At 37.5% G+C, this 15004-nt stretch overlaps 2 protein-coding genes across 5 annotated transcripts in view; both read left to right on the forward strand.

Annotated features, from left to right (window-relative positions):
* The window catches only part of RIPPLY2-CYB5R4 (RIPPLY2-CYB5R4 readthrough), a 114064-nt gene that overhangs the window by 76171 nt on the left and 22889 nt on the right, over positions 1 to 15004 (forward strand). For all 4 annotated transcript variants that reach the window (NR_174604.1, NR_174605.1, NR_174603.1 and 1 more), the window contains 4 exons: positions 5065 to 5205; positions 6694 to 6846; positions 10526 to 10676; positions 10985 to 11071. Coding sequence is in view for 1 of the 4 variants with exons in the window: in NM_001400774.1 (NP_001387703.1) it covers positions 5065 to 5205; positions 6694 to 6846; positions 10526 to 10676; positions 10985 to 11071 (532 nt within the window). In the remaining 3 variants the exon portion in view is untranslated. The remainder of the gene's footprint in view (positions 1 to 5064; positions 5206 to 6693; positions 6847 to 10525; positions 10677 to 10984; positions 11072 to 15004) is intronic.
* Positions 1 to 15004, forward strand: part of CYB5R4 (cytochrome b5 reductase 4) — a 107735-nt gene that overhangs the window by 69842 nt on the left and 22889 nt on the right. The window contains exons 11-14 of the mRNA NM_016230.4: positions 5065 to 5205; positions 6694 to 6846; positions 10526 to 10676; positions 10985 to 11071. Coding sequence (NP_057314.2) covers positions 5065 to 5205; positions 6694 to 6846; positions 10526 to 10676; positions 10985 to 11071 — 532 coding nt within the window. The remainder of the gene's footprint in view (positions 1 to 5064; positions 5206 to 6693; positions 6847 to 10525; positions 10677 to 10984; positions 11072 to 15004) is intronic.

Consider the following 15004-nt stretch of genomic DNA (forward strand, 5'->3'; position numbering starts at 1 on the left):
GAATTGAACCAATATGATTTATAAGTGTGATGCTTCCAATTAATTTTTTTCTTCCCGGAAATGAAGATTATGAGTGAGTAGCTCTGGGGGGTGTGTGGGAGAAAGAGGCAGGGGGAGAGAAAGCTATAGAGAAAGAGATGGCTGAGGAACTTCTCTATTAGGGTTCAGAAATCAATAGATAATTGAATTGCTATTTCTATACCCAAGGTAACATTAGCATTTTATCTTAATTGATACTGTCTTTAATATGGAGTCTTGGATCACCAAACAAAGGTAATTTTAAAGATATGCCAACAAATAACCCAGTCAATTAGTCTTAGGAAACAAGATTTAAAAAAAAAATTGTCTCACAATTTTGATATGTTAACAGCCACTTACAGGCACATGTTGGAGATGTTGTGGGTTGGGTTCCAGACCACCACAATAGAGTATCACAATAAAGCAAGTCACACAATTTTTTTGGTTTCCCAGTGCATGTAAAATTATATTTACATTATACTTTAGTCTGTTAAGTATGCAATAGCATTATGTCTTAAAAACAACTTATACATTTTAATTTAAAAAACAGTATATTACTAAAAAATGCTAACAATCATCTGAGTCTTCAGTGAATCATAATCTTTTTGCTGGTGGAGAGTCTTGCCTCGATGCTGATGATTGGTGACTGATTAGGGTGGTGGTTGCTAAAGCTTGGGGTAGCTGTGGCAATTTCTTAAGAAAAAATGAAGTTTGCCCACATCGATTGACCCTTTCTTTCACAAAAGATTTTTCTGATAGCATTTTATTCACAGTAGAACTGCTTTCAAAATTGAAGTCAGTCCTCTCAAACTCTGTTGCTGTTTTATCAATTAAGTTTATGTATCATTCTAAATTCTCTGTTGTCATTTCAGCAACATTTCACAGCATCTTTGCCAGGAGTAGATTCCATCTCAAGAACCTACATTTTTTACTCATCCCTAAGAAACAACTGCTCATCTGTTCCAAGTTTTATCATGAGATTGCAGCAATTCAGTCAAATCTTCAGGCTCCACTTCTAATTCTAGTTCTCTTGCTGTATTTCCACCACATCTGCAGTTACTTCCTCCACTGAAGTCTTGAACCCTTCAAAGCCATCTGTGAGAACTGGAATCACCTTCCAAATTCCTATTAATGTTGCTATTTTGACTGCCTCCCATAAATCTCAAATGTTCTTAATGGCATCTAGAATGGTGAAACTTCTATATTTGAAGCCCGCTGTTGAGACTTACTATGTGAAAAAAAAAAAAAGATTCCTTTCAAATTGTTATCATTCATTGACAGTCACCCAAAAACTCTGATGGAGATATCTGTCATGAAGATGGCTTCTTTCCTTAAACCTCTTAAACCAACTTCTAGCTTCCAACTTTTCTTTTGTAGCTTCCTCACCTCTCTCAGCCCTCCTAGAATTGAGAAGAGGTAGGACCTTGCTCTGGATCAGGTTTTTGGCTTAAGAGAGTATTCTGGCTGGTTTCATCTATCCAGACCACTCAGACTTTCTGCATATCAGCAATAAGCCTATTTCGCTTTCTTATCAGATCATTCATATGCTCACTGAAGTAGGACTTTTAATTTCCTTCAAGAGCTTTTCCATTGCATCCACAACTTGGCTATAGTGATTGGCTACTAATAATTACTAATCATGTTCTCAAACTTTTAAAACAAGGCCTACTGAGTTGGGACAAGAAACGCTAATAGCGTCTTACTCCATCCCACATCTTTTCCAGCTGCCCTGAGATGTTGGACAAGCTTTTTAACTTCTATAAGCTTCTGTTTCCAGCAGGGAAAATAAGAGTAACTAAGTGCTTCAAAAGTGCAAGAAGGAGAAGCCAGTTGAAGGCAGTGTGGACTCCTAGTGCAGTCTTCTCTTTCTCTTCTATCTCCCATTGAAGACTTTACCTGTGTTTTCTGTTTTGGCCTTGTGAAATTCTATTTTTTAAAAGGGAAAATACAGTTTCTTTTTAACATTAAGAGAAAAGTATGCCCAAATAGTCTTATTATCCTCAGTATTTCACCCTTACCCTGAGTATCTCAATATTAATTGTATGTATTTAATTCAAATAAGTTAGGTATTTGGGGCAGTAATGTTTCTGTCTTATGTTTTTGTTTTACTGTCTTTATTTTCAGTTTCTCATTTTTTAGCATAATTACCTGTGCTTAGAAAGCCAAAAAGTGGACAGTTAGATAATGGCATTGTGCAGGCTGAAGTAGTCAGTGCCATCTGCTTTATACTTCTTTTTTGTTTATATATATATATATTTTTTTTTTATTATACTTTAAGTTCTAGGGTACATGTGTACAATGTGCAGGTTTGTTACATATGTATACTTGTGCCATGTTGGTGTGCTGCACCCATTAACTTGTCATTTACATTAGGTATATCTCCTAATGCTATCCCTCCCCCCTCCCCTCACCCCACAACAGGCCCTAGTGTGTGATGTTCCCCTTCCTGTGTCCAAGTGTTCTCATTGTTCAGTTCCCACCTATGAGTGAGAACATGCGGTGTTTAGTTTTTTGTCCTTGTGATAGTTTGCTGAGAATGATGGTATACTTCTTTTTTCTTATCTTATATACTGCAGTTCCCATCTGTCTGTGCTTTCTCCTTGATGCAATTGAAAGATGAAAACTTTCTTAAATCTTTCTTAAAATCCTTGGAACCTATAGTTAGGCTGTTCTTTTGAAATTATAGTCAGGCTTCTATGGGTAGAACATTGAAATTATCTCAGTAGTGTTAAATAACAAGAATGCTGTGTCAACTCTCTAACAAGGAAAGTCAGTAAATCACTGTAACCCAGGATTTCCTTGTGTTTTAAATATCATTGGAGAGTTGCATAGTTACTATAGCAAACTTTTCTAGCAAATGCTAGAGTAGAAATTGTCAATCCAGAAGGTGAGCATTTTCATACAGCTGTAAAGTTATCAAGATGATATGCACTAGATTTTATTAGAAGAAAACAACACTGTGGTCCTTAGACCTGTGCAAGAGGGTCACCTGCCCTGGGTTCCACACTTGGAGAGCCCCACGTGACTGTCTCCAGCCACACCCCTCCCACAAGGTGAGGAGTATTGCAAGGCCACGAAGTATCCACCTGGAGCTCATCCTCTTTCTTTCAACTTCACCCTCTGTATCTAGAACCATGATTCCCTGCCCAAATGACCCCAAATCTACTTCTATCCAAGGAGTGGCCAGGGCTGTTTATGTGAAAAGCTAGTGCATGAGCTTGAGCCTTTACGTTAATGTATCCACACCCATTTAAGACCCTACTCATTGTCAGACAGAGCCAAGGATGAGAAGACAAGGGGGACAGGCAGTAAGAGTGCAGGTCTCATTCCTCTGCCATCTCACTGATACACTGAGGAGTTTAAGAATCCCGAATTTGAACCTAGCCTTCTAGGACCTTGTAAAGGTATATATTCCAAGATGTAGCATAGAACATACTTTGACAGTTATTTGCGTGATTTATAACGTTAAATATTTATACATATATAGTATGTGGGTCTCTAGTTGTATTCTTACTGTAGGTTCCAGAAAGGGTCTGGAGAAAGAAATAAAGAGATCATTTGCACCTTCATTTCTCCTTGTGCATGGGCCTATGTCCTTTGACCCTTTGGTTAGTCCAGTGCTTGTTAGGCCTTCCGGGATAACTTTAGGGTGGGCTCTTAGCCGTAATCTGGTCCAAGCCTGTGCCCTGGCACTAGAGTGAGGTGACCTCTAGTGATACTCCAAGGTCTTTGCATAAAGCGATATAGTCTAAGCTTATATACTTACTGCTACCATGATAGGTGGAAAATTGAGTGACTGATCTGTTGGGAGCAAAAGGGAGAAGGGAAGTTGGATTCATTTGTGACTAAAATGATTTCTTAGGATTATAGGTGAATTTCAGTTTTCTACTAAGCATTGATTATTAGCTGTTGGCCCTTCACTTTCTAAGATCTGGAGAAAATATTTCTGCACCTACTTGAATATTTTTAGCTTAAAAAAAAGAGAATAGAGTAAGAAATATATTATCAGGGTTTATTCATTTACATCTCTGTAAATACTATTTTATGAGAGAGGAAATAAAAAGTTAATATCTTCACGTTATTCTGATATGCTGTTTATGTTCAAAGATAATTTACAAGTGAAAATCTTAATTCTTTCAGAAATTCTGTAATAAATTCTTCTAATCCAAATGGTATTATTTGCTCTGTATACAAACAATATTTTCTGAGCTTGGGATATTTCAAATTTCTCTAGTATTTATAAAAATATTTGATTCCTTTTATCTATTTGTATGTTAGTACCATAATCCTATTCCTACCATCTTCAGCTTTTCACTTGAATTAATTTTCAGATACCAAAACCTACACCTTTAAGCATAAATGTTTTTGTTTTAATCATTTTTGACAGTTAAAATGTTCTCTAATCATGTATATAAAATACATACACACAAACATAGAGACACAAGAATGTCTATCTTTCTTGCCTTTGTCAAAGAGATATTCTAAAATTGCTTACTAGTGCTACTGTTGTTAAGCCTTAAAGGCTTGAGTTTCAGGACTTTTCCATGGTGTAAGAAAAGATTTTAGAATGTACCGTGGCTCATGCCTATAATCTCAACACTTTGGGAAGCCAAGATGGATGGATTGCTTGAGTCCAGGAGTTCGACATCAGCCTGGGCAACATAGTGAAACCCAATCTCTTTAAAAAAAAATTAAAAAAAAAAAAAAGACTTTAGAATGTAAGTTTCTTCATTATCAAATAAAATTAGGTTATTTTTTATAACATAATGGTTTAACATGCTATAATAACAGATATGAGGAAATAACACTCATTAAGTTCATTTTTCAAGTTATAGAAGTATTTACAGGTCTTGGTCAACACATATCTCAGGAAATAAAATGGAAAAATTAACCTTAAAATATTGATTAATTTTTTAAATGTATAGGCATTTTAGTGAAATTGAAGCTTTCTAGAAAACAGAAGCTGAGTATATGCTTTCTCTTAGTGGTTTAGTATTACTTCTTATTACTTTATGTATCAATAAGAGAAAATGAATCACTTTTTAGGTTTGTACTACAGAAAGTGCCAGTTAATTTCCAAGGAAGATGTTACTCATGATACGAGGCTTTTCTGTTTGATGCTGCCACCAAGCACTCATCTTCAAGTGCCCATTGGGCAACATGTTTACCTCAAGCTACCTATTACAGGTAAGGTGAATAGAGGCTTTGGGACACAATTTATTCTTTTATAAGCAGTTCAAAATCAGTACTATTCTCTCTAGAAAACAACCATTTAAGTTATTAATAAATGTTTCCAGGCAGCTAGATTTAGTGATAGTCAGAATGTAGGTTTGTGACTGCAACGTGTCCTACATGTTGGAACTATAGCTGTACCACATTATCATATGGAACAAAGATATTGCCAGTAGTTTAGACAGATGATTCCACCAGCATTGTAATTTATTACTAACAAAACCCTAAAGGAAAGAGATGAGAGACTGCACAAATAGTCCTCCATGAAGACAACTACTAGAAGCTCATACTGGTGTCTCTTAGCAGCTACTTAGGGTTGTATCATTTATGAAGTTGAATCTATAAAATTTAAAATAAGTGAATGATTGGAAATGATTTTATTATATGTGCTACCAGTATAAGAAGCTCTATAAATGTATAAATATGAATTCTTTTTTCTTTCATTTTCATCCTAAATTTACCTCACTTGTTTTGAATACCCTTCTTATTGACGTCCAACATTTTCTTGGCCTTTTGAAGCTGCAAACGGTAAAATTCTCCTGTCAGCTGTAGTGTTTCTGGCAGTCGTCTAAAATGTTACCACCTAGGTCTCAGAAGATATGATATATTATGATGAGGCACTGTTAAGGTTTTCTGTTTTTCATCACTAATGGCTGGTTTTCTCTTTTTCATCACTAATGCCTGGTTACCTAATTCAAGAGCTGGTATCTTCTCCAGTTATTGCCAATGCATTTTAATTTATATATGTATTTTGTATACATTGAGGAGCCATGCGTAAAATTTTTGGTCTTTCAAACATGCAATGATTCTTCTCTTTGGAATTTGGCTACCTAAAATAAAATGAGTTCTTATTTATTTTACTCTTTAAGAAAATAATATATTCTTAGAAGTAGCTGGATTAACATTCTTTTTATTCAGTTACCAAAGTAATATGTAATATGTTAAAATATTAAAACAATTTAAAGTACATAAAGTAAAAAGTGAAATTTCTTCCTTTTTCTCCGCCAAATGATCCCATTGGTCATCAGTAACATTTTTAAAAATTTGGTGTATAATTAAAATTATTAGGTAAATAGTTTTTTTTTACATCTCCATGGTAACTTTTGATGCCGTTTTTGTTGTAGCCCATTACAAAGTTTATTTGCTGATGGAATAGATGGTTGTCTAAAATTATTACCATATATTTCTATTAAATTAGACTATACATCATAAAAACAGATTGTTTATATTATGGGTACAGTATTGATTTGTGAAAATTGTTTCGGCACACATAGGCTTGGGGTATATATACTATATACATATAGAAAAATAATTAGAATTATATGCCCATTAGGTATATAGTTTTAAATATATACTGATAGTGTCAAAATTTGGATGTTTCATTTTCATTGAGATTTTTGGATTTTTAGAATTTAATTATTTTGCTGTGATTTTTTTTTCTAGGTACAGAAATAGTAAAGCCATATACACCTGTATCTGGTTCCTTACTCTCAGAGTTCAAGGAACCAGTTCTTCCCAACAATAAATACATCTACTTTTTGATAAAAATCTATCCCACTGGACTCTTCACACCAGAGCTTGATCGTCTTCAGATTGGTTAGTATTTTTACATTTTTTAAACCTCATTTGTGCTCTAGATTGGATCACATTGTCCTCTAGTTATCTCCATGTAGGAGTCTATCAGATATCTTTAACTCAACATGTCTACAACCAAAGTTATCTTCTCCTTGTCCTACACAGCGTGGCCATGCTCCATATTCCTTATTTTTATTATTTGCAGCATCACTGTTCATCCTTGATCCAATCTGGAAACTCGAGTCGGCCTTGATTCTTCCCACTTTCTCTTTCCCAGTCCAGTCAGCCGCTAAGTTCTGTTGAGTCTACATCTCAGTGACTTTTTCAGCTACCTCTTCTGCCACTGTCTTACAGTAAGCCTTCATCATATCTTCATTGGCTTCTGTTTCCTTACAATTGACCCTACTGCTTCGCAGCTTTGAAACCTCTGATGGGTCCCCATTATCTGTACTGCATGACCTACAAAGACTTTGATAATCTCTCCAGCTTCATATCTTGCTATACAAAAATACTTGTGCTACTCAGAGTTCCACAGATTTGTCATCCTCATTCACAGGTACATGCAGTTGCCACACCCAAGATGCCCATCAACCTTTTCTTTACCTGTCAAGTACTTTTTTAAAAAGACCCAAACATGGGCTGGGTGCGGTGGCTCACGCCTGTAATCCCAGCACTTTGGGAGGCTGAGGTGGGCAGATCTCTTGAGGTCGGAAGTTCGAGACCAGCCTGGCCAACATGGGGAAACTCTGTTTCTACTAAAAATACAAAAATTAGCCGGGTATGATGGCGGGCGCCTGTAATCCCAGCTACTTGGGAGGCTGAGGCAGGAGAATCGCTTAAACCCGGGAGGCGGAGGTTTCAGTGAGCCGAGATCGTGCCACTGTACTCTAGCCTGGGCAACAGAGCGAGACTCTGTCTCAAAAAAAAATAATAAAAAATAAAAATAAATAAAAAGACCCAAACAGAATATCACTTTATGGAGCCCTCCTCTTCCCCTGAAACCCTCAATAACTAACATTTGTTCATAGCTCTTTTATAAGAATAAATATATTTCTTCATTACAAGACTTTGAGTTTAAGAGCAGAAATTGTCTTACTTATCTTTGTATTTCCACCACCTGGCATGGCAGTTGGTACATAATAGGCTGTCAGTAAATGTGCTTTGTTTTTTTGTTTGTTTGTTTTATTTTTGAGATGGTCTGCTGCCCAGGCTGGAGTGCAGTGGCTCGATCTCAGCTCACTGCAACCTCTGCCTCCTGGGTTCAAGTGATTCTTCTGCCTCAGCCTCCCAAGTAGCTGGGATTACAGGCACACACCACCATGCTGGCTAATATTTGTATTTTTAATAGAGATGAGGTTTCACTATGTTGGCCAAGCTGGTCTCGAACTCCTAACCTTAGATGATTGGCCCGCCTTGGCCTCCCAAAGTGCTGGGATCACAGGTGTGAGCCACTGTGCCCAGCCAGTAAAGGTACTTTGAAGGAATGAATAAAGAACTATAATGAGATCTATTAAGATTTAAAAACTTCTCTTGCTTCTGCTCCCTTTTGGTGTCACCTCCTTTTTCTATATTTTCTTTTCACTTTTTACCTAATAGCAAAAGTGTTCCTCTTTCCAAGGCAGCATTAGCAATACATTGGGATACCAGTGAAGTGGATTACTAAAATTTGGAAATAAACAAAATTACATTACTTTCTGAAATGTAGTAGATATGATTCTGCTAATTATGTCTACTTCACATAATAGATATGATTAGTCATCCTTGGTTACGTAAACCAAAATATTGTATATGAATTTGAACCTGAAGTATTTTGGAGTACCTACAAATCTAATGAAGGTGATTATCACCTTGTGAGAGAAGGACTGACGCATGATTGTAATAAAGTAAGTGGAAACTTAAGGAATGGTATTATAGCCTATTTACGGAGATTTTTGCGAACATAGCAGGGTGGAGAGTTGTCCTAGAGCATGGAAAGGGAAAGCTCAAAGAACAAGATGAAGTATTATTTCAACTTCATTTAGGGAGGCTTGACATGGCACAAATATTTGTGTCACTTAGAGAGTTGTACACTAAATGAATGAACCCATACAATTATTCATCTCTTTGTTTCAATCCCGTGTTCACTAAGCAACATGATTTTACATGATTAATTTGGCTTTCCATGTGTTCTGATACTGGAAACAAGATATCCTCAATGGGACATGTAATGTTCAGGTCACTAGATACATGTAACCCCAGCTGTAAGTCAGTTGCCATTCTGGCATGTGTGCTTTAATCTCTTCTGAATTTGATTAGCATCAGTTATCCTATGTGAGTCTAATCAATTTTGTTAACATTGGAAAGACTGGGCTGTGGGTAAAAGTTACCAAGTTAATACTCTCCTCTGAGGCTTCTTTAGTAAACAACTATCTGGCTTTCCTAAAGACACTCTAATCTTATGGTCTTTTTCAAACTATAATGAGGAGCTTCTATTATTATTATTTTTTTTTTTTTGAGATGGAGTTTTGCTCTTGTTGCCCAGGCTGGAGTGCAGTGGCATCGCAATCTCGGCTCACTGCAACCTCCGCCTCTCGGGTTCAAGCGATTCTCCTGCCTCAGCCTCCCAAGTAGATGGGATTACAGGCATGTGCCACCATGCCTGGCTAATTTTTTGTATTTTTAGTAGAGACGGGGTTTCTCCATGTTCGTCAGGCTGGTCTTGAACTCCCGACCTCAGGTGATCCACCTGCCTTGGCCTCCCGAAGTGCTGGGATTACAGGTGTGAGCCACCACGCCCAGCCCTATTTTCAAATACTTATTTCATCAACTACTGCAAGATTCTTACTATCCTGCAATGGAAAACAGGAAAAATTATGAGCATCCAAGCATTTTAAAATAGAGTATTTTAAATCATTTAAAAATTATAGCAGCTTTATTTTTCCTTTTTAAGATTACATTTCAAGTTTCTGAATCTAGTCCTAAAGGTAATTTTCTCATATGAATGGTACATGGTGATTATATCAACTGGGCTGTAGAAAATGGGCACTGATTTCTCAACTGTGTTGATTCTAGATTGGTAAGTGACATGCTCCAAGTATAGTTGACTGCATTTCTGATCTTGCTTTGTTTTTATGGGAATTAAACTCAGAATAGCCCTTCTTAATAGGTCTTTTCAAAAATTTGGTAGAAGAGAAGTTGGTGTGTTAATCAACATAAGATTTTAGAATGCATTTCTATTTCAATTTTCTCTCCTACTAATCCTGTTACTGTGGTTAATAATCAATGTGTAAATAGTGAATATCTGTTCTTTACTCTGTACCAGGTAAGACAAATATATATGGACTCTGCTTTTGAAGTACTTAGAATTTAGTTTAGCAATCAATCCTTTATTGATAATTTGTGGATAAGTACTTTGCAGTAGTTTGTAAATTTCAGACTTCAGATGGTTTGGCAAAATAGTGGTGGGAAATTATATCATAAAACCTCATTATTAATTTGACTGTAATGATATAATTCAGACATACTTAGGGGCCTAATGAGTATCCTTAAGACTACTTACATATCTTAAAGACTGATAAATAGTCTGCAAGTTAAGTATTTATACTGTTACTCCTCAGTGTTTTAAATTCAGCTAGTTTTGGCTTCTTAGTTTCCCCGCTGGGTTTTTTGTTTTGTTTTTTGTTTTTTTTTTTTCTGATTTAGCTTATGTTTCATTGTTTAGGAGATTTTGTTTCTGTAAGCAGTCCTGAGGGCAATTTTAAAATATCCAAGTTCCAAGAATTAGAAGATCTCTTTTTGTTGGCAGCTGGAACAGGCTTCACACCAATGGTTAAAATACTGAATTATGCTTTGACTGATATACCCAGTCTCAGGTATGTAATTTTGTCTCTAATTACGATCCTTTTTGAGGCTGTTATATTAGTATAAGGTATTCTAAATTGATTACTCACTGGACCTTAATAGACATGTTACCATTTCCTCATTCATCATTTCTTACTTTGCCTCCTCTAATCCTAGCTATTTTATTAACTAGGTTCTTTTATCTCATTTCAGTTTTTGATGATTTTTAGTTACCTACTGGGCACTAAAACATTCACACTGGTTCACTTTAGACTTTCCATTTGTGCATATTTTAAATGTAATTAATTAGTTATTTCTGAGTTTTTTTTTTTCTCTTAAGGAAAGTGAAGCTGATGTTCTTCAATAAAACAGAAGATGATATAATTTGGAGAAGCCAATTGGAGAAATTAGCATTTAAAGATAAAAGGTATTAAACTGATATTAGCTCTGCGTTTAGTTATTTATACCTGGGTAGTAAGTCTATGCCTTATCTTCTCTGGTTGAAGCTTTGATTGTCCAGGAAGCTCCTTCAAAGAAAAAAAATAAACCAATAATTCTCTAACTAGAAATCATGTTAAATGTTCCCCTTCCCTCAAAGAAACACTGTCTGGCAAGATCTAGGCAACCTTATATATGTGTCACTAAGATGCATATTGGGCTTTATGATCATGTTATGTGATTTATACTGAGTTGGGTTTCACTGAAAATGTTCCAATGTAGCCAGTTTGGTAATGCAAGATTTTTCCTGTTATACTGGGGCTGATAAAATAAGCATTTGGTGAGAATGGATTAAGCAAAATTAAACATGATATGGGATTTCTAAAGCCTTTAATATGTTAGTATCCTTTGTGACTTTCCAAGAGAGGAATTTTTTATGCATTGCTTAGCAAAATTCCTTTTATGTTTGTTTGTTTGCATTAACACTTCTTCGCTCTTTCACTAGTGATCCTTGGTACACACTTTGGGAAGTGCTGGTACAGATAATAGAAAAAAGTTCTAGTCAAGCTGAACTCAGTAGTGGAATGGGACAGAAAGGATAACAAAAGTGAAAACTTATTTTATTGATTAAAGAGCTCAGCCCAGTAAACTAAAATAAGAAGATAATTTAACTGAATATATGCTCCATTTCCCCTAAAAAGATTTGAAAGCAGTAGGAAGTTCAGAACAATCTTTTCACAAAAAGTGAATTCAATAAGTTATCATACTTTCTAAAGCATTTCTATAATCATTAAAAGCTATTTCTAAGAATTTTAGGGCTTTATAAATTACACAAAAGATCTGAAGTAAATATGTATGTATATGAAAGGATGGTATACATAAAATTCTAGGCCTTTTAAAAGAGTAAAGCCCTTAGAACTTTGTTAGCTGTCCAGGGGCTCGAGGTTCTTCTGAATATTTTCTGAATGTCCATAATAAGAAAATGCTGTGGTCTTTTCCCATTTTTCCCTCCCTGCTGTCTCCCATCATCCTCCACTTTGTCTTTTAATAAATGACTTTCAAAATTAAGGATGACACCTGAATTTATTTATCCTTGAAGTATTTACTATTCTTTACATACTAAAAACATAGACCTAAGAACATTTATTATAAGTAGTTGTGTGGCATTTTAGAGAATTATTTAAAGAAGTTCAAGTTCTTAGTTTTTCAAGTATTTTTTAACACATTTTCAAAGTGGAAAATTGGAAGCGTTTATCAAGAAGCCTAAAGACCTAAATTCCAGTTGCCATTCTGCTCCTCACCAGCATGAAACTTTATTCACAAATTACTTACCTCTGGGGGCCTCTTTATCTTCAAAAGAAAATAATGCTGTCTTTTCTACTTCATAAAGTATTGTGAGCTTTGGAGAAGATAACGTAAATGCTTTGGAACCTGTGAAGCCCTCCCTCAGACATTTGAATTGTGGTTATAGAGGACCCCTATGTACATGTTTGTTTTCTGTCTTCACCGTTAGAGCTTCTGTTTTTGTAAGTAAATGTTTAAAAGAATTTAAACTGGTCGATTCCTGGGCAAGATAGCCAAATAGGAACAGCTCCGGTCTGCAGCTCCCAGCGAGACCAACACGGAAGGCCGGTGATTTCTGCATTTCCAACTGAGATACCTGGTTCATCTCATTGGGACTGATTATACAGTGGGTGCAGTCCATGGAGGGCGAGCAGAAGCATGGTGGGGTGTTGTCTCACCCGGGAAGCTCAAGTGGTTGGCACTAGCCAAGGGAAGCCATGAGGGACTGTGCCATGAGTGACTGTGCTATCCAGCCCAGATACTACGCTTTTTCCACAGTCTTTGCAACCTGCAGACCAGGAGATTCCCTTGGGTGCCTACACCACCAGGGCCCTGGGTTTCAAGCACAAACTTGGGTGGCCATTTGGGCAGACACCAAGCTAGCTGCAGGAGTTTTTTTTTGTACCCCAGTGGCGCCTGGAACACCAGAGAGACAGAACCATTCACTCCCCTGGAAAGGGGGCTGAAGCCAGGGAGCCAGGTGGTCTTGCTCAGCGGATCCCACCCCAACGGAGCCCAGCAAGCTAAAATCCACTGGCTTGAAATTCTCGCTGCAAGCACAGCAGTTTGAAGTTGATGGGGGACACTTGAGCCTGGTGGGGGGAGGGGCGTCCACCATTACTGAGGCTTGAGTAGGTGGTTTTCCACTCACAGTGTAAAAAAAGCCACTGGGAAGTTCGGACTAAGCAGAGCCCACCACAGCACCGAAAAGCCATGATAGCCAGACTGCCTCTCTAGATTCCTCCTCTCTGCAGGGCACCTCTGAAAGAAAGGCAGCAGCCCCAATCAGAGGCTTATAGATAAAATTCCCATCTCCCTGGGACAGAGTGCCTGGGGGAAGGGGCAGCTATGGGCACAGCTTCAGCAGACTTAAATATTCCTGCTTGCTGGCTCTGAAGAGAGCAGTGGATCTCCCAGCACAGTGCTCGAGCTCTGCTAAGTGACCGACTGCCTCCTCAAGTGGGTCCCTGACACCTGAGCCTCCTGACGGGGAGACACCCCCCAGCAGGGGTCAACAGACACCTCATACAGGAGAGCTCTGGCTGGCATTTGGTGGGTGCCCTCTGGGATGAAGCTTCCAGAGGAAGGAACAGGCAGCAATCTTTGCTGTTCTGCAGCCTCTGCTGGTGATACCCAGGAAAACAGGGTCTAGAGTGGACTCCCGGCAAACTCCAGCAGACTTGCAGCAGAGGGGCCTGACTGTTATAAGGTAAACTAACAAACAGAAAGCAATAGCATCAACATCAAAAAAAAAAGGATGACCAAGCAAACACTCCATCCAAAGGTCACCAACAGCAAAGACCAAAGGTAGATAAATCCACGAAGTTGAGGAAAAACCTATGCAAAAAGGCTGAAAATGCCAACAACCAGAATGCCTCTTCTCCTCCAAAGGATCACAACTCCTCACTAGCAAGGGAACATAACTGGATGGATAATGAATTTGACAAATTGACAGAAGTAGGCTTCAGAAGGTGGGTAATAACAAATTCCTGAAGGAGCATGTTCTAACCCAGTGCAAGGAAGCTAAGAACCTTGACAGAAGGCTAGAGGAGTATCTAACTAGAATAACCAGTTTGGAGAAGAACATAAAAGACCTGATGGAACTGAAAAACAGCACGAGAACATCATGAAGCATACACAAGTATCCATAGCCAAATCGATCAAGCGGAAGAAAGGATATCAGAGATTGAAGACCAACTCAATGAAATAAAGTGAGAAGACAAGATTAGAGAAAAAAGAATGAAAAGGAATGAACAAAGCCTCCAAGAAATATGGGACTACATTTGGTGTACCTGAAAGTGACAGAGAGAATGGAACCAAGTTGGAAAATACACTTCCGGATACTATCCAAGAGAACTTCCCCAACCTAGCAACACAGGCCAACATTCAACTTCAGGAAATACAGAGAACACCACAAAGATACTTCTTGAGAAGAGCAACCCCAGGACATAATCGTCAGATTCACCAAGGTTGAAATGAAGGAAAAAAATGTTAAGGGCAGCCAGAGAGGAAGGTCAGGTTACCCACAAAGGGAAGCCCATCAGACTAACAGGGGATCTCTCTGCAGAAACCCTACAAACCAGAAGAGATTGGGGGCCAATATTCTACATTCTTAAAGAAAAGAGTTTTTAATCCAGAATTTCATATCCAGCCAAATTAAGCTTCATAAGCAAAGGAGAAATAAAATCCTTTAAAGACAAGCAAATGCTGAGGGATTTCGTCACCACCAGGCCTGCCTTACAAGAGTTCCTGAAGGAAGTACTAAATATGAAAAAGAAAAACTGGTACCAGCCACTGCAGAAACATAGCAGAATGTAAAGACCATTGAAACTATGAAGAAAATGCATCAACTAATAGG

This window comes from Homo sapiens, chromosome 6 (assembly GCF_000001405.40).
Source record: "Homo sapiens chromosome 6, GRCh38.p14 Primary Assembly".
NCBI classification, from domain to species: Eukaryota; Metazoa; Chordata; class Mammalia; order Primates; family Hominidae; genus Homo; species Homo sapiens.